This window comes from Homo sapiens, chromosome 13, assembly GCF_000001405.40.
Source record: "Homo sapiens chromosome 13, GRCh38.p14 Primary Assembly".
Lineage (NCBI taxonomy): Eukaryota > Metazoa > Chordata > Mammalia > Primates > Hominidae > Homo > Homo sapiens.
The window spans coordinates 27,224,885-27,250,487 of NC_000013.11; the positions used below are offsets into that span (position 1 = coordinate 27,224,885).

Below are 25,603 nucleotides of genomic sequence, written 5' to 3' on the forward strand. Positions count from 1 at the left end.
CAACTTATGTAGGACTCCAAGATTAGTACTTTTGTAAGATATACATTTATTCAACCATCACACAAAATTCTAGTTGGTACCTACTTTGTGTAGAAAGTGCCTAAGGAAGTATAGTGTGCTCTATGTTGAACAGGAAAATACATTTCCTTTAATTTGCAGTCCTGTATTTCACTCTAAACATAAACATACACACACACAATAAGAATAGGCCCACACTTAAAATTTTGTTAAACATACCAAAAATAAGGATAAAAAATGATTAACAAATTAGAAAATATTTTTATTACTAAAACTGAAAAGTCAACTTTTATTGTTTATACAGAAAATTCTGACCAGCCCGGGCAACAGGGTGAAACCCCGTCTCTACTAAAAATACAAAAATTAGCCAGGCATGGTGGCGGTCACCTGTAATGCCACTTAGGAGGCTGAGGCAGGAGAATCGCTTGATCCCAGGAGGTGGAGGTTGCAGTGAGCGGAGATCGCACCACTGCCCTTCAGCCTGGGTGGCAGAGCGAGGCTCCCTCTCAAGAAAAAAAAATTCTTTTTAAAAATCTGCCAGTGCATTATAGAAATTTGTACATCTTTTTCCTACACCATATATCATTGGTCTGTATAAATAACTTGTTCACAATTTTGTATCTTCTGATAAAACGAGTACTTTCCAAGGGTATGTAGTCATAATTCAGGTAATGATTCAAAATGTGTTGAATCTTATGCCCCTGTGCTGTTCTCTCACTCACTCCTATGGTTTTATGCCTCCTACCCTGGATAATTTGTCCTGATCTTTCAGATTAAAGATCATGTTGTTGATGTTCTGGTAGCCTCAGCTGGTCCTTCATACCACATATGAAATTCTTTTAAAATAATCTTCTTAGTTTAGCGTCTGTCTCCCTAGAGATTATATAATTTCCCCAAAGGCATGGACTTGTTCCCATCTTAAGAGCAGGTCCCAGTATCATAGAGGCACACAATGAATCACTTAATAAGAAATGGATGAATGAATATGTTACACACAGAACTTTTTTTATATAAGAAAAGGACCTTACAATTTTTTTTTTTTTTGAGACGGAGTTTCACTCTTGTGGCCCAGGCTGGAGTGCAGTGGCATGATCTCAGCTCACTGCAACCTCTGCCTCCCAGGTTCAAGCGATTCTCCTGCCTCAGCCTCCTGAGCAGCTGGGATTACAGGCATGCGCTACCACGCCCAGCTAATTTTTGTATTTTTAGTAGAGACAGGGTTTCACCATGTTGGCCAGGCTGGTCTCAAACTCCTGACCTCAGGCAATCCACCCACCTTGGCCTCCCAAACTGCTGGGATCATAGGCATAAGCCAATGTGCTCGGCCCTTTTTTCTTTTTTTTGAGACAGAGACTCGCTCTGTTGCCCAAGCTGGAGTGCAGTGGTGTGATCTCAGCTCACTGCAACCTCCACCTCCCAGGTTCAAGCAATTCTCCTGCCTCAGCTTCCCAAGTAGCTGGAATTACAGGTGCCTGCCACCATGTGTGGCTACTTTTTGTATTTTTAGTAGAGACGTGGTTTCACCATGTTGGTCAGGCTGGTCTCGAACTCCTGACCTTAGGTGATCCGCCCGCCTGAAAGTGTTGGGATTACAGGCATGAGCCACCACACTTCACCAGGACCTCACAATTTTTAAAAAAATTGTCTTATTTCTTGTTTGAATGGTGAATGATGACGGAGAAGAGGGTGCATACTACTGAGGAAGGCATGAAGGAACCTGAGGTTCTTGAACTTGAGAGCTTAATTTTCTCCCAGAAACTTGTCAACCCGAATAGCTCCTTTCTCATTCAATTAGAACAGGGTTTACCTCTCCTTTTGTAGTTAGTAGTTTCTCATTTTTGTGTCCTGGGTTCCAAGAGCATTAGTTAAAGCTTTCCTACTTTCATAAGGGTAATGCTGATAAAATAGCCCCAAAGTGTAAACAATCAAAATGTCTTTCAATGTGTAAATGGTTAAACTGGCACATCCAAACCATGGAATACTACCAAGCAATGAAAGGAAACCAAACTGTTGATAAACACAACTTAGGTGGATCTCAAGGGCATCATATGAGTAAAAAAAAAAAAAAAAAAAAAAGGAAAAAAAAGCTGATGTACTCTACAGTTCCACTTATTTAACATTCTCACTATCACACATTACAGAGATGAAAGATTAGTAGTTGCCAGGTATGGTGAAAGAAAGGGGTGGTGTAACTGAAAAGGGTAACACAAGGGAGCTGTCAGGTGTTGGAATAGTTCTGTGTCATGAAGTAGTGGTGTGCACTCGTGCAGGAACCTCCGCATGTGATACAATGGCATAGAACTATCCACATATGTTGTACCAAAGTCAGTTTTCTGATTTTGATATTGTGCTGTAGGTAGGTAAAAAGTAACCACAGGGGGAAACTGGTTGAAGGGCACAAAATACCTCTTTGTTCTATTTTTGCAGCTTCCTGTGAATCTATAATTATCTCAAAATAAAAAGTCAACAGAAATTTTTAAAAATTTTAAAAGGAAGATTGCTAAGTTTCACAGAGGAAAGCCCCAAACCTTGAAAGGTTGGAGCATTTTTCCAGATGCACCCTAGGAGGGTGGATGCACCCAGGAAGGAAGAGCACCCGGAGGAAGGTTGCATGCAGGACCCCACTCCCACCAGAAATTTACACTGGCTCTAACCTCCTTCTAGAATTAATAGCTACCTCAGCTGTTGAGAACAGAAACAATGCTACCTATTGCATATAAGTGTAGATGATAAAGGAACCTTGGTGAGCCAAATCCACAAAGCTCCCCTAAAAAGGCTGGAGCATAGTGGAGAAATGCAGATTTGCCCACAGCCAGCCACTTGGCTGATGACAGTCTCCAGACCTGTAAGCCAAAGTCCTTTCCCCAACACCTTGTGACCCCTTGTAACAAAATCCTGAAATTCTGCCAACAGAGGTTAAAGACAAATTCTTTGGTCATTAACATAAAATGCCACCCATTCAAAATTCTAGAATAGGACTTTTTTTTGAAATGTGGATGAGAGGTACTGCTAAAAAATTTGTAATACCTCTTCCATGCTTTTCACAAAAATGAATTAAAACATTTGAGGGAAAATAAAAAACGGCAATGCTGAAATCCACTACCCTACTATCATAACACTCTGCTTCCAAGGTCCCAGTGGGCATATTGTTACCTCACTGCTATGTCCTGCTGTCATTCAGAGCACAGCCCTCCCAGGACAAGAGCCAGTGTTTATCTGTTTTAAATAGATTTATTGAGACATAATTTACATGCCATAAAATTAACCCATTTCAATGGTTTTTGCTATGTTCACAAAGTTGTGTATCCATCACAACAATCTAATTTTAGACCATTTCCATCATCCCCACAATAAACTTTGTGCCCAGTAGCTGTCAGTCCTTACTCCCCCCTCACCTCACATTTAGGCAACCATACTTCCTGTCCTTATATGGTTACCTATTCTAGATATGTCATATAAATAGAATTATACAGTACATTTTGTTTTGTGTCTGGCTTCTTTCACCAAGCATAATGTTTTTGAGGTTCATTCATGCAGTAAGTCTCAGTATTTCACTTCTTTTTACTGTCAAATAGTATTCTATTGTATAGATATATCACATTTTGTTTATCCATTCACCAACTGATGGACATGTGAGTTGTTTCCACTTTTTTACTTTTGTGAATATTGCTGCTCTGCATATTCACATAAAAATCTTTGTGTGAAAATGTTTTCATTTATATTTGATGGATACCTATGAGTAGAACAGCTGGGTCACACGGTAACTCTTATGTTTAACCTTCTGAGAAACTCTCAAACTATTTTCCAAACTGGCTGCACCATTTTACATTCTTACCAGCAACATGAGGGTTCTAGTTTCTCCACATCCTTGCTGACACTTGTTATTATATCTTTTTTATTACAGCCACTACAGTGAGTATAAAGTGGTATCTCATTGTGGTTTTGATTTGTATATCCTTGGCAACTAAGAACATTAGTCATCTTTTCATGTGCTTATTGGCGATTTACGTATCTTCTTTTTAGAAATATCTATTCAAGTCCTCTGCCCATTAAAACAATTAAGTTGTTAAGAGTTCTTTATATATTCTGGATATAAGTCTCTTAGTGGATATATGATTTATAAATATTTCTCTCATTCTGTGGGTTATCTTTCACTTTCTTGTGGTTTTTGAAATTCAAAAGTCCAATTTATTATTTTTTTTTACCAATGTGCTTTTGTTATCATTTATAAGAAATCATTGCCTAACTTAAGACCACAGATTTACACGCCATGTCTTATTCTAATGTTTACAGTTGTATCTCTTAAATTTAGGTGTGCGATGCATTTTGAGTTGATTTTTGTGTATGGTATGAGGCTGAAGGCCAATTTCACGTTTTTTTTTTTTTTTGCATATGGATGTCTAACTGTCCCAGCACCATTTTTGAAAAGACTCTCTCCGATTGAATTTTGACATCTTTGTCAAAAATCAATCGACTGTAATGAAAGGGTTTATTTCTGGGTTCTCAATTTTATTTCACTGGTCTATAGTTTATCCTTATGCCAATACTACACTGTATTGATTACCATAGGTTTGCATTACATTTTGAAGTGAGGGTGTGTCTAAGTTCTCAAACTATAGTCAATTTTTCAAGATTATTTTGGGCTATTCTGGGATCTTTTCATTTCCTAAGAATTTTAGTTTATCAATTTATGCCCAGCCAGGTGTGGTGGCTCTGTAGTCCCAGCACTTTGGGAGGCTGAGGCAGGTGGATCGCTTGAGCTTGGGAGTTTGACACCACCCTGTCCAACATGGCAAAACCCCATCTCTACAAAAAATACAAAAATGAGCCAGGTGTGGTGGCGCATGCCTATAGCCCCAGCTACTTGTGGGGACTGAGGCAGGAGGATCACTTAAGCCTTGGAGGCAGAGATTGCAGTGAGCCAAGACTGGGGCACTGCACTCCAGCCTGGGTAACAAAGCCAGGTGCTGTCTCAAAAAAAAAAAAAAAAAGTCCCCAAAAAAGTCAGCAGAGATTTTGATAGGATTTGCATTAAATACGCAAACCAATTTGGGGGATTTTTGCCATCTTACCAATATTAAGTCTTTCACTCTACAAATATACTATGTTCTTTCATTTATTTAGGTCTTCTTTAATTTCTTTCAGCAATGTTTCTTAAGAGTAGAAGCATTGCGCTTTTGCTAAATTTGTTCCTAAGTATTGCATACTTTTTTGATGCTACTGTGAATGGAATGTTTTTCTTATTGTTAGGGTTTTTTTTGTTTTTGTTTTTTTTGTTTTAGATGGAAACTTGCTCTGCCGCCCAGGATGGAGTGCAGTAGTGTGATCTCGGTTCACTGCAACCTCCACCTCCCGGATTCAAGCAGTTCTCCTGCCTCAGCCTTCTGAGCGGCTGGGATTACAGGCGCATGCCACCACGCCTGGCTAATTTTTTTTTTGTATTTTTAGTAGAGATTGGGTTTCACCAAGTTGGCCAGGCTGGACCTGACTTCCTGACCTCATGATCTGCCTGCTTTGGCCTCCCAAAGTGCTGAGATTACAGGTGTGAGCAATTGTGCCCGACCAAGTTTCAAAGTATTAAATGCTGGTATACAGAAATACATTTGACTTTCGTATATTGATTTTGTATCCTGTGACTTGGACGAACTTATTAGTTCTTGTAGTTTTATAGTAAACTGTGCATAATTTTTTTTTCTTTTTCTTTTTTGCTGAGATGGAGTCTCACTCTGTTGCCCAGGCTGGAGTGCAGTGGCACAATCTCCGCTCACTGCAAGCTCTGCCTCCTGGATTCATGCCATTCTCCTGCCTCAGCCTCCTGAGTAGCTGGGACTACAGGCGCCCATCACCACGACTGGCTAATTTTTTTCTTTTTTTTGTATTTTTAGTAGAGACAGGGTTTCACGGTGTTAGCCAGGATTGTCTTGATCTCCTGACCTCGTGATCCACCCGCCTCAGCCTCCCAAAGTGCTGGGATTACAGGCGTGAGCCACTGCACCCAGCCGAACTGTGCATAATTTTCTACATACAAAGTCACGTCATCTGGAAATGAAGAATTTTGTAACTGCCTCCACCCAATGGGTTATTCCTGCCTGCTGCACAATAAAGACCACAGCAGTGCAGTAAAGAAAGAGTTTAACTGACACAAGGCCAGCCATACCTTGTGGGTATGAGTTATTACTCAAATCAATCTCCCCCAAAATTTGGAGATTGGGGTTTTTAAGGATAATTTGGTGGGTAGGGGGTCAGAAAGTAGGAAGTGCTGATTGGGTCGAAGATGAAATCACAGGGAGTCAAAGCTGTCTTCTTGTGCTGAATCAGTTCCTGGGTGGGGACAAGACCAGGCAAACTAATTTACCAATCTGGGTGATGCACTGGAATGCAGGGTCTGCAAAATACCTCAAGCACTGATCTCAGGTTTTACAACAGTGACTCCTAAATCATAATTTCTAATCTTGTGGCTAATTTGTTAGTCCTGCAAAGGCAGTCTACTCTCCAGGCAAGAAGGGGGTTTGTTTTGGGAAGGGGCTGTTATTGTCTTTATTTCAAAGTTAAACTATAAACTAAGTTCCTTCTAAAGTTAGTTCAGCCTACAGGAATGAGCAAGGACAGCTCTTGCAGGTTAGAAGCAAGATGGAGTCGGTTAAGTCAGATCTCTTTCACTGTAATAATTTTCTCAGTTACAATTTTTGCAAAGGTGGATTTCGGTTTTACTTCCTACTTTTCTAGATGCCTTTATGTTTTCTTGCCTCAACAACCTGGATAGAACCTCCAGGATAATGTCGAATAGATGCGGTAAGAGTAAGCATCTTATTTCTGATTTTAAGAGACAATCATTTAGTCTTTCACTATTAAGTAGGATGTTAGCTATAAAATTTTTCTAGATGCTCTTTATCATGTTGAAGAAATTCTTTTCTATTCCTAGTTTGTTGAGGTTTTTAAAAAATCAATAGGCATTGAATTTTTGAAATGCTTTTTTGAAAATGAGCATGTCTAATGAGGATGTGTTTGTCTTTCATTAATAAAATGTATTATAGTAACTGATTTTCAGATATTAAACCAGCCTTGCATTCTCAAGATAAGTCTTATTTAGTCAAACTGTATAATCGTATTTATACGTTGCTGGATTTGGTTTGCTAGTATTTTCTTAAGGGTTTCTTGGCATCTTAACATATGGGGAATATTGGTATGTAGTTTTTTTGTAATGTCTTTGTCCAGTTTTGGCATCAGGTAATACTGCCTCATAGAATCAAGTGGGAAGCTTTCTTTCCTCTATATTCTGGAAGAGTTTGTGAAAGATTTGTAAGCAATTTTTGTTAAATGTTGGGTAGAATCCTCCAGTGAAATTTTCTGGGCCTAGGTTTTGCTTTTGGGGAAGATTTTAAATTGTTGATTCAATCTCTTGCTTTAAATTTACTTAGATTTCTATTTCTTCTTTTCAGACAGGGTCTCACTCTATTTCTCAGACTGGAATGCAGTGGTGTGATCACTGCAGCCTTGACCTCCTGGGCTCAAGCAGTCCTCCCACCTCAGCCTTCCAAGTAGCTGGGACAACTAGCTAGCCACCACACCTGGCTAATTTTTGTACTTTTTTCTGTAGAGACAGGTTTTCACCGTGTTGCCCAGGCTGCTCTTGAACTCCTGAGCTCAAGTGATCTGCTTGCCTCAGCCTCCCAAAATGCTGAGATTACAGATGTAAGCCACCGTGTTCACCCTCTATTTCTTCTTGTGTCAGTTTCATTTTATCTTTCTTGGAATTTGCTCATTTCACATGACTAATTTGTTGGCATGCAGTTATTCATAGTATTCTTTTACAATATTTGTAACTTCTGTAAAATTGGTAGTGATGTTCATGCTTTCATTCCTCATTTTAATAATTTAAGTCTTCACTTTTTTCTTGGTCAGTGTCATTAATGTCTGTCAATTTCTTGATCTTTTCAAAAAACTAACTTTTGGTTTTATTGATTTCTATTTTATTTATTTCCTTTCTATTCATTATTTCCTTCTTTATGATTGCTTTGGGTTTGTTCTTCTTTTTCTACTTTCCAAAAGTACAAAGTCAAATTATTGATTTGAGATCTTCTTTTCTAATATAGGAGCTTACAGCTATTCCCTGTACATTGCTTCCACTGTATCCCAGAAATTTCGATACCTTTTTTTCCCTTTTCTTTCTTGAGACAGTTATCACTCTGTTGCCCAGGCTGGAGTGCAGTGGCATGACCATGGCTCACTGCAATCTTGCCCTTTCAGGCTCAAGTGAACTGCCCACCTCAGCCTCCCAAGTAGCTAGGACAATGGGCATGTGCTACCATGCTAGACTAATTTTTTTTTAGATGGGGTCTATGTTTCTAGGTTGGCCTTGAACTCTTGGGCTCAAGTGGTCCTACTGTCTCAGCTTCCCAAAGTGCTGGGATTACAGGTATGAGTCACCATACCAGGCTCTTGTATTTAATTTTCATTCATCTCAAATAATTTTCTAATTTCTATTATTTCTTCTTTTTTAATCAATTGGTAACACAGTGCATCATTTAATTCTCATATATTTGTATTTTCCAAAATATTTCTTATGTTTGTTTGTGGCCTGATAAAATACTTTGTATGGTTTTAAGTCTTTTAAATTTTTTGAGACTTGTTTTATGGCCAAGTATATGGTCTATCCTGGAGAATGTACCATATGCACTTAAGAAGATGTCTAGTCTGCTATTGTTAAAATGTTCTATAGGCGTTAGTTGGGCCAGTTATTTGATAATACAGTTCAAGTGTTCTACATTCTTAATTTTTTGTCTGGGTTTTATCTATTATAGAGAGTGGAATGGCCTACACGGTGGCTCACGCCTATAATCCTAGCACTTTGGGAGGCCGGGGCAAGTGGATCACCTGAGGTCAGGAGTTCAAGATCAGCCTAGCCAACATGGTGAAGCACCATCTCTATTCAAAATACAAAAATTATCCGAGCATGGTGGTGCCCACCTGTAATCCCAGCTACTCTGGAGGTTGAGGCAGTAGACTCTCTTGAACCTGGGAGGCAGAAGTTGCAGGGAGCCGAGATCATGCCACTGAACTCCAGCCTGGGTGACAGAGTGAGACTCTGACTCAAAAAAAAAAAAAAAAAAAAAAAGAGAGAGAGAGAGAAAGCAGAGTATTGAAGTCTTCATTTATTATTGTTGAATTTTCTGTTTCTCCCTTCAACTACCTTCTCTTCGTTCTTAACAGCTACTCCAGAGTCATCTTTTACAAAAATAAGGATTGCGTCACTCCTCTTCAAAACCCTCTACTGCCTTCATATCTCACTCAGAATAAAATCCAAAGTACCTGCAATACCTAAACGTCTCATAAAATGTGCTTACCTCTCCCTGCATTCCGCACTACCCTCCCTCTCCTGTTACCCAGCCATTAACCCCCCCAGGCCCCTTGCTTAAATGTATCGAACACTTTGTCCACAGGATCTTTGTGTTTGTTCTGTTGTAATGCTCTTCTCTCGGATACCTGCATGGCACCCTTCCTCACTTTCTTCAGATCTTTGTTCAAATGTCCTGAGAGGTCTTCTCTGCTCACTCTATGTTAAATTGTAATGTCTTTCTTCATTTTTTTCTCCATAACACTTTTCTCCATCTGTCATAATGTATATATTGTAATCATGTAAATAATTTTTTATTAACTGTCTTTTTTCACTAGAATGTAAACTTCAAGTGCATAGGGATGCCTGTTTTATTCTCATGTATCTTCAGCACAGTGCCTGTCACAGAGGTGACCAATAAATGCATGCTTCATGAACAAATGAATGCCCTGAGCACTGCTTGAGGAAACCAGTCAGCTGGGAAGTAAACTAAGTCAGATTCATTGGTTAATCTCAAATGAACCCTAAACACTAATTCCTTCTGTAAGACTCTGCAACTGTGAACGATCATTTTCTTAGAATTCTGTCACTGATATTAAAATTATCTGTAGTAATGCTGATTTGGTTGAGCTAGCTCACTGCTCCCTTCCATTTTCATCTTTTCCCAAATATTTATTGAGCATTTGCTGTATGCCAAGCACTGGATACGAAGTGGTAAACCTATAGTGACAAAGCCCATGCCCTTATGAACTCTGAAGTATAATTATCTGAAACTCACCATGCCAAAGTTAATCAGACCACTGCCCCTAGACATTCCTTATACAGTTTACTTTCCAGTTTCAATAATCTTCTCCCAGATAGACCAAAATTAAATCGAATTCTAGCAAACAATTTACATTGAACCTTGCCAAATTCATGCACATAAGTCAGCTTTCAAACACAGTCAGCCCTCCATATCCATGGGTTCCACATCTGTGGATTCAAACAAACTCTTATGGAAAATATTTGGAAAAAAAACTTAGGCCTGGCACGGTGGCTCACACCTGTAATCCCTGCACTTTGGGAGGCCGAGGTGGGTGGATCACCTGAGGTCAGCAGTTTGAGACCAGTCTGGGCAACATGGTGAAACCCCATCTCTACTAAAAATACAAAAATTAGCTGGGCGCAGTGGCGCGTGCCTGTAATCCCAGCTACTTGGAAGGCTGAGGTAAGAGAATCACTTGAGCCCCGGAGGCAGAGGTTGCAGTAAGCTGAGACTGCATTGCACCATTGCACTCCAGCCTGGGCGACAGAGCAAGACTCCATCTCAAAAAAAAAAAAAAAAAAGAGAAAAATTTTAAAAGGCAATATAATTAAAAAACCAGAAATAATATGGTACAATTATTTATATAACATTACATTGTATTAGGTATCATATTAATAAATAATGTAGAGATTATTTAAACTGTTAGGAGGATGTGTGTAGGTTATATGCAAATACTATGCCATTTTGTATCAGGGACTTGAGCATTCATGAATTTTGGTATCTGAGTAGTTCTGGAAGCAATTCCCCCAGATATAGAGAGAGGACTGTACTACAGAAGTGAAAATTTAAGCATCATAGGTATTTTAAAAATAGTTTGAAGAAAATAATTGGTAGTAAAATTGCATCTATAGATTTTGAAATCTAAGTACAAATTAATAGCATTAAACTAATGTCTGAGAAATGTTCTTCACATTGCATTTTATGCTTCCGCTACAAATCCCAGTACTAAAACTTTTAAAGGCATTTCATATTAACTATTATGCAGAAATATTTTTATGGCATTGTGGTTCATTATAGTGGTTATATTGTCAGTTTTCAAAAAAATAAGGTCTATTTCAAATATTCCTGGCATATATGAAACTTTAGCCAGAGTAATTTTTCTAATTGTTAAAAGGGTTTTTGCCTTTTGTCAGCAAGTACTATAGTCAAAATATTTCAACCACAGATTCTTCTTATTCCATCAGAGGACAGCCAAGTATCTGAATGATACCTCAGAGGTACAGAAAGGACACAATAGCAGTCAGCAGAAATATTTTAATCTACTCACCAGACAGAAGTCTAATTGCTCCCCTATTTCATTTGACAACCAGAAACACTGTTTTGAGAAAAAATTTTGTGGGTTTCTTTTTATACAAACATAACCAAGTGCTAGTTCCCCACCTAACTTTCCCATAAAATTTTACCTGGTTGATTTCTGAGCAGTTTCATTAGAAATCTAAGGACATGACAGAATATCAGTGAAGCAAAATCAGCATAATCACAGGATAAATTAAAGTAAAAATCCAATACTTCAGTTCAAGGCAATTCAGCAAAGTTGTACCATGACCTGCCCAGAAACAAAGCAAAATGAAAATAATCCCATGAGCCTGTGTTCCTGGAAAACTTAGCAGAAGCAAGATCACCATGAGAACGTGCATATTTTGGTCTGGGACTCACCCAAATAGTGTAATAATGAAAAGTTTGCTAAAAAAGGAGATTACTTCAGGAACTTCCAGTGACAACCCCGGTTTTCCTCTGGGAGAGTCAAAGCAAAACCAGCAGCAGAACAGTGGAATGGGGCAGTGCTCCTAAGCTTTTTGGTCTTGGGAAATCTTTACCTGTCAAAAAATTACTGAGGATCAGTGACAACTTTTGCTTGTGTGATTTTTATCTATCAATATTTACCATATATCAGAAGTTAAAATGAAGAATTTGTATACTCATTAACTTACATAAAAATAATTTTTAAAACCCTACATGTTAACATAAATAACATTTTATAACAATACTTCCCAGAAAAAATACGTTAAGAAGTGTGGCGTTGTTTTTAATGTTTAGTGTTTTCCAATGTCTTTACTTAATGTCTAGCTTAATCAAAGATAACGAGATATTCGTGTCTGCTTTTGCATCAAATCTATTGCCATATGCCGTTTGGCTGAAGTACAGGAATATGAAGAAAATGCAGCCTCACACAGATGTTATAAAAAGGAGAATAACCTTTTTACAATCTTTTTTTTAATAACCAAAGGTATTTGAATAACCTTTCCAGAAAACTGCATCTATCCTTATTTGATCCTATTCCAGTGCTCAAGTGTCAGGTTTTTTTTTTTTTTTTTTTTTGGAGATGGAGTTTCACTCTTGTTGCCCAGGCTGGAGTGCAGCAGCATCATCTCAGCTCACTGCAACCTCCACCTCCCAGCTTCAAGCAATTCTCCTGCCTCAGCCTCCCGAGTAGCTGGGATTACAGGCATGTGCCACCACACCCAGCTAATTTTGTATTTTTAGTAGAGCCGGGGTTTCTCCATGTTGGTCAGGCTGGTCTCAAACTCCCGACCTCAGGTGATCCGCCCGCCTCGGCTTCCCAAAGTGCTGGGATTACAGGCGTGAGCCACCGCACCAGGCCTTAAGTGTCATATTTTTTAAAAAGATTAGTGTGAAATCTGAAACCCTAGCAATGAAGTTTTCCTACTGTGTTACATTAAAACCTATTGATCTATTTTACTCTTCAAATGGATGTTTTCTCATTTATTATTTTGTAACATTACGTATCAGTCATTTGGAAAATAGGGTTCACTCAGTTATGCAGATCATCCAAATACTGACACATTTTTTATACAAAGTAAAACAAAACATATTTGTTAATATCATCACTGATCTCATCAGAAAAGTATCTAAGTTTTGGGGAGCCCTAAAGCTCACAGTTGTGGATACAAGTTTTCCAAAATACGAATTTTCACTTAAAAGCTCAAATTTTCATTGGCAACAAACATCATCAGTTGTTTTCACTGAAGTGGCAATCTGGTTTAGTTCATTTTTCAAAAATGTCTGCCAAATATCCAAGTCTGAAGCACCATAGTTTGTCAATCTATCACGTAAAAACTGTTCAATGGAATAAAGTGGTGGCTAAGTTCAGCTGTCAAGTCAAACAATAGCCAAGTACTTTTCCTCCAGCCAACCATCATACTGATCGGAAAGCACAATGTTACAGCGCTGTATGCATACTTCCTGCTTTGTCACATAAAATACATTAACAAGATATGGATGCTGGGCTCTATGACTCTTGCCTGTAGTTCCAGCTACTAGAGAGGCTGAGACGGGAGGGTCACATGAGCCCAAGAGTTTGAGGTCAGCCTGGTCGGCATAGCGAGACCCTGGCTCTAAAAAGGAAAAAGAAAAAAAAAAATTTTGACTCAAGGGTAAAAAAGTAAAAGTATATCATGCCTTAGCATTATTATGAAAACAGTTTTGACTCACAGATCCCTTGCAAGTCTGTGACACTCAGGACTGCACAGACCAGACTTCTGAGTTTGGCTGGGCTAGGAGGAGAGAAATGGCCAAGGACAGCAGGATACACTTTGTATCCACCAGCTGCCAGGTACCGGACAAAATAGAAACGATGTTCTACATTCATTGTCTCATGTGGTAGTATAAATCCAAACCCCTTCTAAACAATTATTTGTGCCTCCATTTTAAAGGCAAAGAAATAGGCTTACAGAAAGCTGTAGAACAGAGCTGGAAACTAGTCTGTTGGCTCCAAAACTCTTGCTTTTTTCCCACCATGGAAAAAGATATCTTCTTTCTTACTAGCTTTGGTATAGGGACCCCTCTCTTCCAGAGTACCCCCTTACAAGCCATGTCCCCCATCCAATCTCCTGGACTGTTCCCATTCCTGTGCAGGCCCTTGCCTCTTTGAGTAAAATTATTTCTACTACTAGTTATCTAAATCAGAGGTGACAAAAATACAGAATATACAGGTGCTTTTCTTCCCAGGGAGCACATCAGGTATTCATAATCTTTAATTTTCAATGAGCCTGAAATTAACCTTAGAAGCTTCTCAACTGAGGTCCAGGTAGCCATAATCAACCAATCAATCAAGGCTAACAACAGAAGTGAAATTTGTTTGTCTGCCTTCACCTAAAATCATTAAGAAGCAATTGTGTGGGATCAGAGGGTGAACCTCTTCCTTCCTTCTTTACAAATACAAAAAGTAACTTTGCCAGGAAAATATGTGCATAGCTCCAGGTGGCGTTAGCTAGAAAAACTAATATAATTATTAGGAGTGAACATTGTTGACTTCAACTGACCAGCTGGTCTCTCTGAATTCATTACAAGTCCTAACAGTCTACTAAATACTTCCCATCTACGTCAAAAGTCTAATATTGACAGTGAAGCAGTTTCCACATTCCAAATTGTGCTTTATTCTTGAAATATAACTGGGCCTCTATAAACCACTGCAATGACTTCCCCAACTGCTTCACCACTTCAACACATTTCCCATCTGAATACTTCTAGTATTTGATTCGGTTCTGCCTCATGTTGTACTGGCCTTAGAGTCTAGAGCAGCTGAAGACATTTTTGAAGTCTGGAACAAAAATCAGGATTGAGACAGAAAAATCTGGCTGCGGACAATGAGGACGTGTACTAGGGGGTTAGGATTCAATTTGAATGTCCAATTACATGGTTACAAGCCTGTTTATGCCTTATGCTTTTCAGATAAGAATCAGATTTTGGAAGGAAGAACACAATCTTTGCCTTGCTCAATTAAAAAAACAGATTTTTAGAACTTCAGGATAAGTAGCAAAAAATAAAAATAAAATAAAAAATAGATTTTTGTCTTGTTCATTCTGCTGTTTTTCAGGATCTCAAATAAAAAGTTTGATGGGGCCGGGCACGGTGGCACATGCCTGTAATCCCAGCCCTTTGGGAGGCCGAGGCAGGTGGATCACTTGAGGTTAGGGGTTTGAGACCAGCCTGGCCAACATGGCAAAACCCTGTCTCTATTAAAAATACAAAAACTAACTGGGCATGGTGGTGGGTGCCACCAGCTACTCAGGAGGGCAAGGCAGGAGAATCGCTTGAACCCAACAGGCAGAGGTTGCAGTGAGCCGAGATGGCGCCATTGCACCCTAGCCTGGGTGACGGAGCAAGACTCTGTCTCAAAAAAAAAAAAAAAAAAAAAAAAAAGTTTGATGGAAAAGATTATTTTACACAATTATTCTTCATGATATGTTTTTCAATTATTCACAGTATTTCTAACCCTCATTACTTTAGCTGTCATTGCAGTGACATTTTTCTTGAGACAAGAATTCTCATTATATACTTTCTACATTAGAAACTCCTAATCAGTTCTTACTTGAAATTGTTCTCCTGTCAATCTACCAGGACAAAGGACAAATAATAAGTGAGTGGTGAGATACTCAAAAGAGGTGACCAACTGGGCCTCTCACATAAAGGACAGAACTTTTTTTCTCCTAGCTTGGAAAATTTGTCCTCCTGGAATTAATCAGCCAATGTCTTCTGAAAACCAAAATAAAATATCTACTTTGTTAAAATCCCTTCACAAGGGAAAACACAAAAATAGAAATACATAGACGTAAATTCAGCTTAATGACCAAAAGTTGTGTTTTGTGTAGTGTTTTACTCAAGCCTAGCAGAAAATTATAAGTTTCCCTTATTTTAATAAGCCACATCCCTGTTCATTTGTTGCTCTTATTTTCTAAGACTATTGGACAACTTTCACTACTCCAACATCCTAAAGTTGTTATCCATCTCTATGCCTTTACATAAGCTGTTCCCTCTACTTTAAATGCCCTTACTATTCGTTCTCTGATTAAAGTGCTACTCTTATCAAGTCAAACCTCTGTGAAGCTCCCTTTTTCGTTCAGGGGTTCTACTCTCTTCCCATCCCCTTCCTCCAATCTAGGTGCAGTAACTTCCTCCACAGAACTCCCATGTCACTCATTTTCAGTGTCCTCTATTAAATCACTTAGAATATTGTAATGAACTTGCTTTTTTCTTCTACCAGACTCTTTGTGGGTTCCTTGACGGCAAGGATCATGTTTTATTCATTTTCATGGTCTCATCACTTAGTACAGTATCTGATTTAATCTAGAAGCTCATAAATATTGAATGAATTTTGATATTTCCTATTTTCTACATGTAATTTACTTCATATTTCTTTTAAAGCTTCAATTCTTTTCTTATTCTCTTTATATTAACGGTCTCAAACTAGAGACACATTGACCATTAGTGAATCAGGAAGCCACTTTGTTTTTCAGATCTGTACATTGGAGCTAATGACACAAACCTATTTTAAAAGGCTATAGTAAAAATAAATTCCTTATCCTCTTGAGAGAAAAATGCTAATAAAATTGGGATTTACTTTGGGAAGCCATTTTGCAATATTTTATGAAGTTAGACATACACCTACTGATATGGTTTGCCTCCGCGTTCCCCACCCAAATCTCATCCTGAACTGTACTCCCATAATTCCCACATGTTGTGGGAGGGACCCGGTGGGAGATAATTTGAATCATGGAGGTGGTTTACTCCATACTGTTCTCATGGTAGTGAATAAGTCGCATGAGATCTGATGTTTTTATCAGGAGTTTCCACTTTTGCATCTTTCTCATTCTCTCTTGCCTGCTGTGATGTAAGACGTGCCTTTACCTCCCACCATAATTGTGGGGCCTCCCCAGCCACATGGAACTATAAGTCAAAGTAAACCTCTTTCTTTTGTAAATTACCCAGTCTCAGGTATGTCTTTATCAGCAGCGTGAAAACAGACTAATACACCTACCTTACGATCAAGGAATGTAACTCCTAAGCTGGGCTCAGTAGCGCACATCCATTGTCCCAGCTACTCTGGAGGCTGAGATAGGGGGATTGTTTGTGCTCAGGAGTTTGGGGCTGTAGTGAGCTATGATCACACCACTGAACTCCAGCATGAGCAACACAGCGAGACCCACAAAAATTATGTACAACTCAAACTGCCATCAAGAGGAGAACAGAAAAATAAATTGTGATATATTCTACAGTGGAATACTACTTTCACAATAAAAAGAATTGAACTACTAGTACATGCAATATGATTGATTCTCAACGACATTCAGCTAAACAAAAAGAGCCACAGGAAAAAAAAGTACAAACTGTATGGTACCATTCATAGGAAATCCAAGATTAGGCAAAACTAACTTATGGTTATAGAAATCAGAATATTGGCCAGGCAGGCTGGCTCATGCCTGTAACCCCAGCACTTTGGGAGGTCAAGGTGGGAGGATCATTAGAGGCCAGGAGTTCAAGACCTGCCTATATAACATAGCAAGATCCCATCTCAATCAATGAATCAAACAGAAATCAGAATATTGTTTTTAGTCAGGGAGGGGGTTGACTGGAAGGGATGTCTACCCTATGTTTATTGGAGCAGGGAGAGTGCAATTCTGGTCCCCTTAGTTTTGATGTGGGTAGGGAGTACCTTCCTAAGAATATGCACATGGGACAGGAGTTAAGGCCCCCAAGTAAATGGAGGTCTAGTAGGAAGAAGGAATGAGTTTGAGTAGCTAAAAAACAATGTCCCAATGTCCACTCCGTAACCCAACTCCTCATTTAGTATTGGAATGCCTTCAACATCCAATTCAGCTAAAACAATATGAGTTAAACTAATTATTAGGTATCCTGCATCTAAATAATTCATCCCTAGGGGCTCCAGATTAAAATGATGGATTAAATACCCTCATCTAATTTTGTTACCTCCGAGAATCCCATTGGGTGTGTGTGCGTGTGTGTGTGTGTGTGTGGGTGTGTGTGTGTGTCTAACGACCTAAACCATATGCATGGGGAAGATAAAAAATAACAGCAACATTTTGAAAGCTGAAAAACAGATGGACAAATGCCAGCTGACGTAGGTGACTTGAGAAAGCTCAATCCCAAAACAGCAATGGAAAAACCTGAAGAGCGACTTTTTGTACACTGTAGAATCTTCTAAATGCATAGGAATAGGTACCACCCATTACCTCCTAGGAGTTTCATAAGAATTAAGTAAGATAATATTTGTAAGTGCTTACTGGCACATAGAATGAGCCCTCAGGAAATATCAGCTATCACTACCACTGTCATGCCTTTGGTTAAAACGAGTCAGATTCTCAACTGTCTATAGAAAAAGATTAAGCATTCTTTTTTTCTTTTTTTGTAATGGGCACAGAGGATATTTATTTAAGATGGTGGTTTTCAAACTTTTAAAAAAGTAGCAGACCGCTTGTTTTGTAAATGAACCTTACTATAGGAAGCAGATAAATGTGGCACTCCTCGGGGAGCAGCAAGGGTGAGGGGCCTGGGCTCTACCCTCTCACTTTCCACCTTGTCCTTTAAAGGAGACTCTGACATCCCTGAGGAACACAATTGGTTTAGAGGGAAAGGGAAAAGAGGTTAACATTTAGACATGTAAATGAACGAATAAAATAAATGAATAGGGAAAAAAGGAAACCCTTTCCTTAATGTGGAAGTAGAAGTGGAGCTGGAAAATCACCGCTTTGTAACCATCACAGTAAAAATTGCAAGAATCACGATGAATACTTAATCCAGGAGGGAAAGTTTGTTTAGAAGCAAGATATTTGCGTGATCTTCGTGCAAACAGATGGCACATAAGGGAGAAAACGCTGCTTATACCAGGGCAAATATTACTGACCTGCAGACTAGAGAAACATGAATGTCACCTAAGGCAAGAAAAGGCTGAAGTGCTTCAGATTAAAAGCTAAGAGAGACACAGCGACTATTAATAAATACAACATATGATTTCTGACTGGATCATGTAAAAAAAAAATGCCATAAAGGACATTATTGGGACAACTGACATTTGAAATGTGGATTGTAAATGTGATACCAGCCAGGAGCCTGCAATCCCAACACTTTAGGAGGCTGTGGCAGACAGATCACTTGAGCTCAGAAGTTCAAGACCAGCCTGGGCCACATGGTGAAACCCCCTCGCTATAAGAAATTAAAAAATTAGCTGGGTGTGGTGGCACCTGTGGTCCTAGTTACTTGGGAGGCTGAGGTGGGAGGATGGCTTGAGCCTAGGAGGTGGAGACTGTAGTGAGCTAGGATCATGCCACTGCACTCCAGCCTGGGCCATAAAGCAAGACTCTGTCCAAAAAAAAAAAAAAAAAAAAAAATTGATATAAGCATTGTATCAGTTTTGTTTCCTGAATTTGATAAATGTACTGTGGTTATATGAGAGAATGTCCTCATTCTTAGGAGACACAAATCAGTACAGTATATGGCCTAAAGAGGAAAAGATATGTGTGACCCACTCTCAAACAATTTAGAAAAAAACATATACAGTGTGTTTACATAGATGGAGAAAACAGTGGTTCTCAAAGTGGGATCCCTGGAGGAGCAGCAGTGTCACCTGGGAACTTGTTAGCAATACGAATTCTTGGGCTCAACTCAAACCTACTAAATCACCTGTCTGGGGTGGGGGCCAGGAGTCTGTGTTTTAACCTTAGCCTTCCTGGTCGTTCAGATACATGCTAAACTTTGAAAACCACTGATACAGAGAGAATGAGAAAACAAATGTGGTGAAATGTTACAATCAGTGAATGCAGAGAAAGGGCATACAGGGGTCTTCTGTAATATTCTTGAAACTTTTCTGTAAGTTTGAAATTGTTTCAAGATAAATATTAAAAACAAAATTACCCTGGTACAATAAGTGTAGACATGTGGAAAGGAGACCTGGGAGGTAGGAAAGCAAATCACAGAGTTAACACAGGAACCATGCATGAGGTGATGTAATTTACAACTAAGACTGCTGCCACTCCAGTGCTGAGTGAGGACAGGCTATCTGCAGAGTCTTCAAATAACAAATCTCCTCCTTGCAGAACATTTGGGCACCAATCATACTAATCTAAATAGGACAGTCCGGCAATCTCTGTAGAGAGGTTTCCTTCAGAAAAGCTTTCAGGGAGCATGAGGAAAACAGTGGTCACAGCACTCCAGAATTCTATCGAGGGCTGATCTGTGAGAGTGACATTCTCATTCATTGCTGTAATTTTCACCAGTTTTTGGAGTCCTCCAGTAATGTGTAAGTTATTCCAATTGGGGAGATCTTCAATCAGAATACTAGTGCTAAGAACTCCATATTTGATAAACTTGTGAAAACACACATCTTCACCAAAACCTTTGAGAGGTTTAGTGTCCAAGACTGATTTTACCCCTAAGGTATGTGACATGAGGTTGAAACCACCTTTACAAAGATTATGAAAGTGACAGAAGTCAGGCCAGGGGTGATGGCTCATGCTTGTAGTCCCAGCACTTTGGGAGGCCGAGGCGGGTGGATCATGAGGTCAGGATGTCAAGACTATCCTGGCCAACATGGTGAAACCCTGTCTCTACTAAAAATACATAAAGATTAGAAGGACGTGACGGTGCACGCCTGTAGTTCCAGCTACTCGGGAAGCTGAGGCAGGAGAACTGCTTGAACCCAGGAGGCAGAGGCTGCAGTGAGCCAAGATTGTGCCACTGCACTCCAGCCTAGGCAACAAAGTGAGACTCCATCTCAAAAAAAAAAAAAAAAAAAAAAAGAAAGTGAGAGAAGTCTAGCATAGCTGACTCCATTTTGCTTCCAGCCTCACAGGCTCGATTCAGCATTCTTTGGCACCTTGGTAAGAACCTTCACCATCTGCCTTTTGGCTTTATTTCCCATCACTCTTGTCTTGCATGGGCAACACCACACTGCTTGTACTCACCGTCACATGCTACATTGTCTTCTACGATGGAATGCTCTTTTGTCTTCATCTAACGCCCATTCATGTTTTAATGTCTTGGGCATCACTTCTCTTAGGAAGCCTCTTTCGGGAATCAAGAAGATGAGAAAGATCAAGCTACTGAAGAACAAAGGGAACAGCATGCATAACGATCCCAAGACTAGAAAAAACTTGAAGTATTTACGGAATTGAAGAAGGCAGAGAGAGACACAAGAAAGTGAGGGAGACAGGAATCTGAAAAGATAAGCACGATCTAGTTTATACAGGACTTTGTAAGACAAGGTAAGGAATTTAGATTTTATTCTAAGAGCAACAGAAAGCCTGTGGAGGGCTGTAAGCAAGGGTGTGATATAATCAGGTTTATATTTTTAAAAGATCACCCTGGCCACTATATAGGAAATGGATAGAACAGGGGCAAGAGAGGAAAAAAAAGTGACCATAAAGATGCCATTGCTGTAGTTCAGAATAAGACGTATTAGTGGCGTGGCCACAGAGATGGGAAGAGGTAGGTCAGCTGGAGATACATTAATATATTAATATTTTACAATCAGAACTGGAACAAAACTTTCCAATGGATTCCATACGGAAGGGATAAAGGGAAACTTAAAGGCAAAACCAAGGTTTCTTGATTATGCTATGTACTGAATGGAAAATATTGGAGCAGAAACAGGCTTCAGGGTAAAAATCAAGTTTTTTTGTTGTTGTTTTCTTGTTTGAGACAAAGTTTCACTTTGTCGCTCCAGCTGGAGTGCAGTGGCATGAACACAGCTCACTGTAGCCTCAACCTCTGGGCCCAAGTGATTCTCCTGCTTCAGCCCCGCAAGCAGCTGGGACTATGGGCGCATACCATCACACCCTGCTAATTTTTGTATTTTTGTAGAGACAGGGTTTCACCATCTTGCCCAGACTGGTCTCGAACTCCTGTGCTCAAGCACTCTGCCTGCCCCGGCCTCCCAAACTGCTGGGATTACAGGTGTGAGCCACTGCATCTGGCAGAAAATAAAAAGTTTTATGAGCTAGGCATAGGGGTTCACGCCTGCAATCCCAGCTCTTTGGGATGCCAATGTGGGAGGATTGCCTGAGCTCAGGAGTTCAAGGCCAGCCTGGGCAACAAAAGGAGACTCCATATCTACAAAAGAATTTTTACAAATTAGCCAGGTGTGGTGGTGCATGCCTGTGATGCCAGCTACATCAGTGGCTGAGGCAGGAGGATGGCTTGAGCCCAGGAGGTTGAGGCTGCAGTGAGCCATGATCATGTTCCTGCACTCCAGCCTGGGCAAGAGAGCAAGACCCTGTCTCCAAAAGAAAAAAAAAAAAAGTATATCTAAAACTTAAAAACATCCCATAAAAACTTACAACACATCCCATAAGGTTATACCAAGGGTATAAACGTTGGTCTATAGTCCTCAGTGAGACTTCTAAATAAAACTAATTATGTAAAAGCTTGATTTTTTTTTTAAGTTGACAGAAGGTAAGCAAATTAACTGGGGAACTGTAGTGGGGATGTTAAACAGTAGAGTACCCACATACAATTAATTTTGGCTACTCTAGGCACGCTGCCTATGGGATAGCCCTGCTCCACAAGGAGCAGTTAAAAAAAAAGAAAAGAAAAATAAAAGATTTGGACATGTTGAGATGCTAAAGAGTATCCAAGAATAGATATCAAGTTGAATAGCAATCTTGAGGAAAGGCTGGAATCACATAAATCAATCTGGTAGTAAGCAACACAGAGATGAAATTTAAAATTATAGGAGTAAATGGAATTAACCAGGAAGGCAGTACAGAAAGAGAAGAGCAGGGGCCTAGCTCCAAGACCCAGGGAAATGTAGTCTTTATAGGACAGGGAGAGGAGGGAAAATCAGCAAATCAGACTGTGGAGTGGTGAGGAAGGGTAGTGTTTCATGGAGGAAGAGCTGGCCAACAGAGTCCAGTGCTTTGCGGAGATCAAGAAAGGAAAGAACAGGGAATGTCTTTTGGCTTTGGCAACATATAAGCAGTTGATGCCCTGACAAGAGCAGCTTTAATGACATGACTAGAACAGAAGTCAAATGAAACTGAAGCTGAATGAAAGATGAGGAAGAGATAATAGTGTTTATGTATTAAACTGTATGACACTGCTGAACTTTCACAATTTTTGATGTACAAAACCAAAAATTTCATGACTCCTTTTTTTTTACATTTGACAGAAGAAAAATGAACATATGGGGCAGTAGTTATAAAGGAATATGAGATCAAGCAGAATCAGAAAGAAGAGAGTTGCGGGTTTTAGTGGGGAACACCAGAGCCTGTTTGTACATGGATAAAAATGATGGAGTTGGCTGGGAGCATGTTTGTACACTGATAAAAATGAGGCAGTTGGCTGGGCGTGGTGGCTCACACCTGTAATCCCAGCACTTTGAGAGGCTGAGACAGGTGGATCACTTGAGGTCAGGAGTCCAAGACCAGCCTGGCCAACATGGCGAAACCCTGTTTCTACCAAAAATAATAAAATTAGCCGGGTGTGGTGGCACACGCCTATAATCCCAGCTACTTGGGAGGCTGAGGCATGAGAATTGCTTGAACCCAGGAGGTGGAGGTTGCAGTGAGCCGAGATCATGCCACTGCACTCCAGCCTGGGGACTAAGAGAGTCTCAAAAAAAGAGGCAGTCATCAGCTGAAAGAAAGGTGGGAGAAAGGAAGGTTTGATAATCAAAGAAATGACATGAAATAATCTTTAAATAGAATAATGTGAGACAAAATAGAAAATGTTAAGCCAGGTTTGCTTATTTCTGCTTGAACCCCTGACTGTGATGAAATGCAGCTCCTCAGGAAGAATCTTAAAACAGGATAGAGCACACGGCCCCCCGTGTCACTCGCCTGAGTTACAACGTTCCTGAAACAGTAAATGAACTTGACCTTGCCTTTTCCTACATGAAGATGTCTGACAGGGTTAGTGATTATGCTTCTACAATCTATAACCAAATTACTTTAGTAATCTATAAACTGATGTACTCTTACACCCAAACTTTAATGAGATTTCACACATACAGAACCCCCACAACCTACATAGAAGCAATGGGCTGAGGGACCACTTTGGAGCCCTGTGAAAGAACTGCCCTCAGGGTATAAACCTTGGTCTACAGTCCTCAGTGAGACTTCTGAATAAAACTAACTTTAATTATGTAAAAGCTTAATTTTTTTTTTGACAGCAGGTAAGCAAATTAACTGGGGAACTGTAGTGGGGATGCTAAACAGTACAGTACCCATTTGTTAAGGGTTGGTCGTGAATTTATGGGAGAGGCTAAAAACACAAATGCCAACAGGAGCCAGGCAGGTAAATGACTGAAGCAGGCTGAGTGATGAAGGAACTCAAGAATGAATGCCCCATCTAAAGGGGAAGCCAGTGGAGTGGCCATCAAGACTATCAGCTCTATGCTGCCAGATCTCCTGATTTCTCAAGGGAAGCCAGAAATCTTTTTTTTTTGATATGTTAATTTTTAAAACACTCTATGGGCTCAAAAAAATATTTCCAAGTGCAAAAAAATATAGTGCATGGATGACTAGTTTCTGATTTGTCATCACACCAGATTACAAGATTTTCTTCAACGGTGCTCAGCTGTGGAGGTACTGTCACGGTTGCATTTATCCAAGGTTCGGTATGTGCTAAGAAAGTGATGGGGGCCAGGCGCGGTGGCTCACGCCTATAATCCCAGCACTTTGGGAGGTGGAGGCGGGTGGATCACCTGAGGTCAGGAGTTGGAGACCAGCCTGGCCAACATGGTGAAACCTCGTCGCTACTAAAAACAAAAAAATCAGCCAGGTGTGGTGGCGGGCGCCTGTAATCCCAGCTACTCCTCGTGAGCCTGAGGCAAGAGAATCGCTTGAACCCGGGAGGCAGAGGTTGTGGTGAGTCGATGTCGCGCCACTGCACTCCAGCCTGGGCAACAAGAACAAAATTCCCTCTCAAAGAAAGAAAGAAAGTAATGGGAAAGGAAAAGTGACCTGAGGAAGTGAGTGCTAACAGAGTGACTGTAATAATGAACTACAGAAAATTAAGTTAAAGACAATCTAGAAGCCAAGGGCTAATGGTTACAGTGAAAGTCTGGAGGAGTCAACGTATTGAAGGAATCAATACCAAATCCTATTCCTCCTCAAGTTCTTCAGCAAATGATGTTAAGTGCTGATGACGATGGTCACAGAATGTACACATTTAAAAAATGGTGCTGACGCAGTTCTTAGAAATTACAACTTTCAGGTGCATCAGGAGAGTGAGTCGAAGACATGCAAATTTCAAAAGCGACTGGACGATATTATTTATATTCAGTCTGATAAGGGATTTTGTTAACTTAGCTGACTTTTTAAAAATGCATCCTAAAAATACATACAATCATGAGAAAAACATGAGACAAATTCCATGATTAGGACATCCTACAAAATACATGACCAGTACTCCTCAAAACTCTCAAGGTCACCAAAAGTAAGGAAAGTTTGAGAAACTGCCACAGCCACAAGAGGCATATAAGGAGACATCATAACTAAATGTAATGTGGTATTCTGGATGGAATCCTGGAACAGAAAAAGGGTATTAGGTAAAACCGAAGGAAATCTGAATAAAATGTGAACCTTAGTTAATAACAGTGTAAAATATTGGTTCATTAATTGCAACAAATGTACCATATTAGCATGAGATGTTAATAATAGGGGAAACTGGATGCTGGGTATATGGCATTA

General features: G+C 39.8%; 1 long non-coding RNA gene across 1 annotated transcript; it reads right to left on the reverse strand.

The window, feature by feature from the left end:
- Window positions 1–11,397: 11,397 nt before the first annotated feature.
- LINC00412 (long intergenic non-protein coding RNA 412) lies at window positions 11,398–12,373 on the reverse strand. Its single transcript, NR_120429.1, has 2 exons — window positions 11,814–12,373; window positions 11,398–11,703 (listed from the first exon to the last, which is right to left on the reverse strand). It is a non-coding gene; the product is annotated as a long intergenic non-protein coding RNA 412 (long non-coding RNA).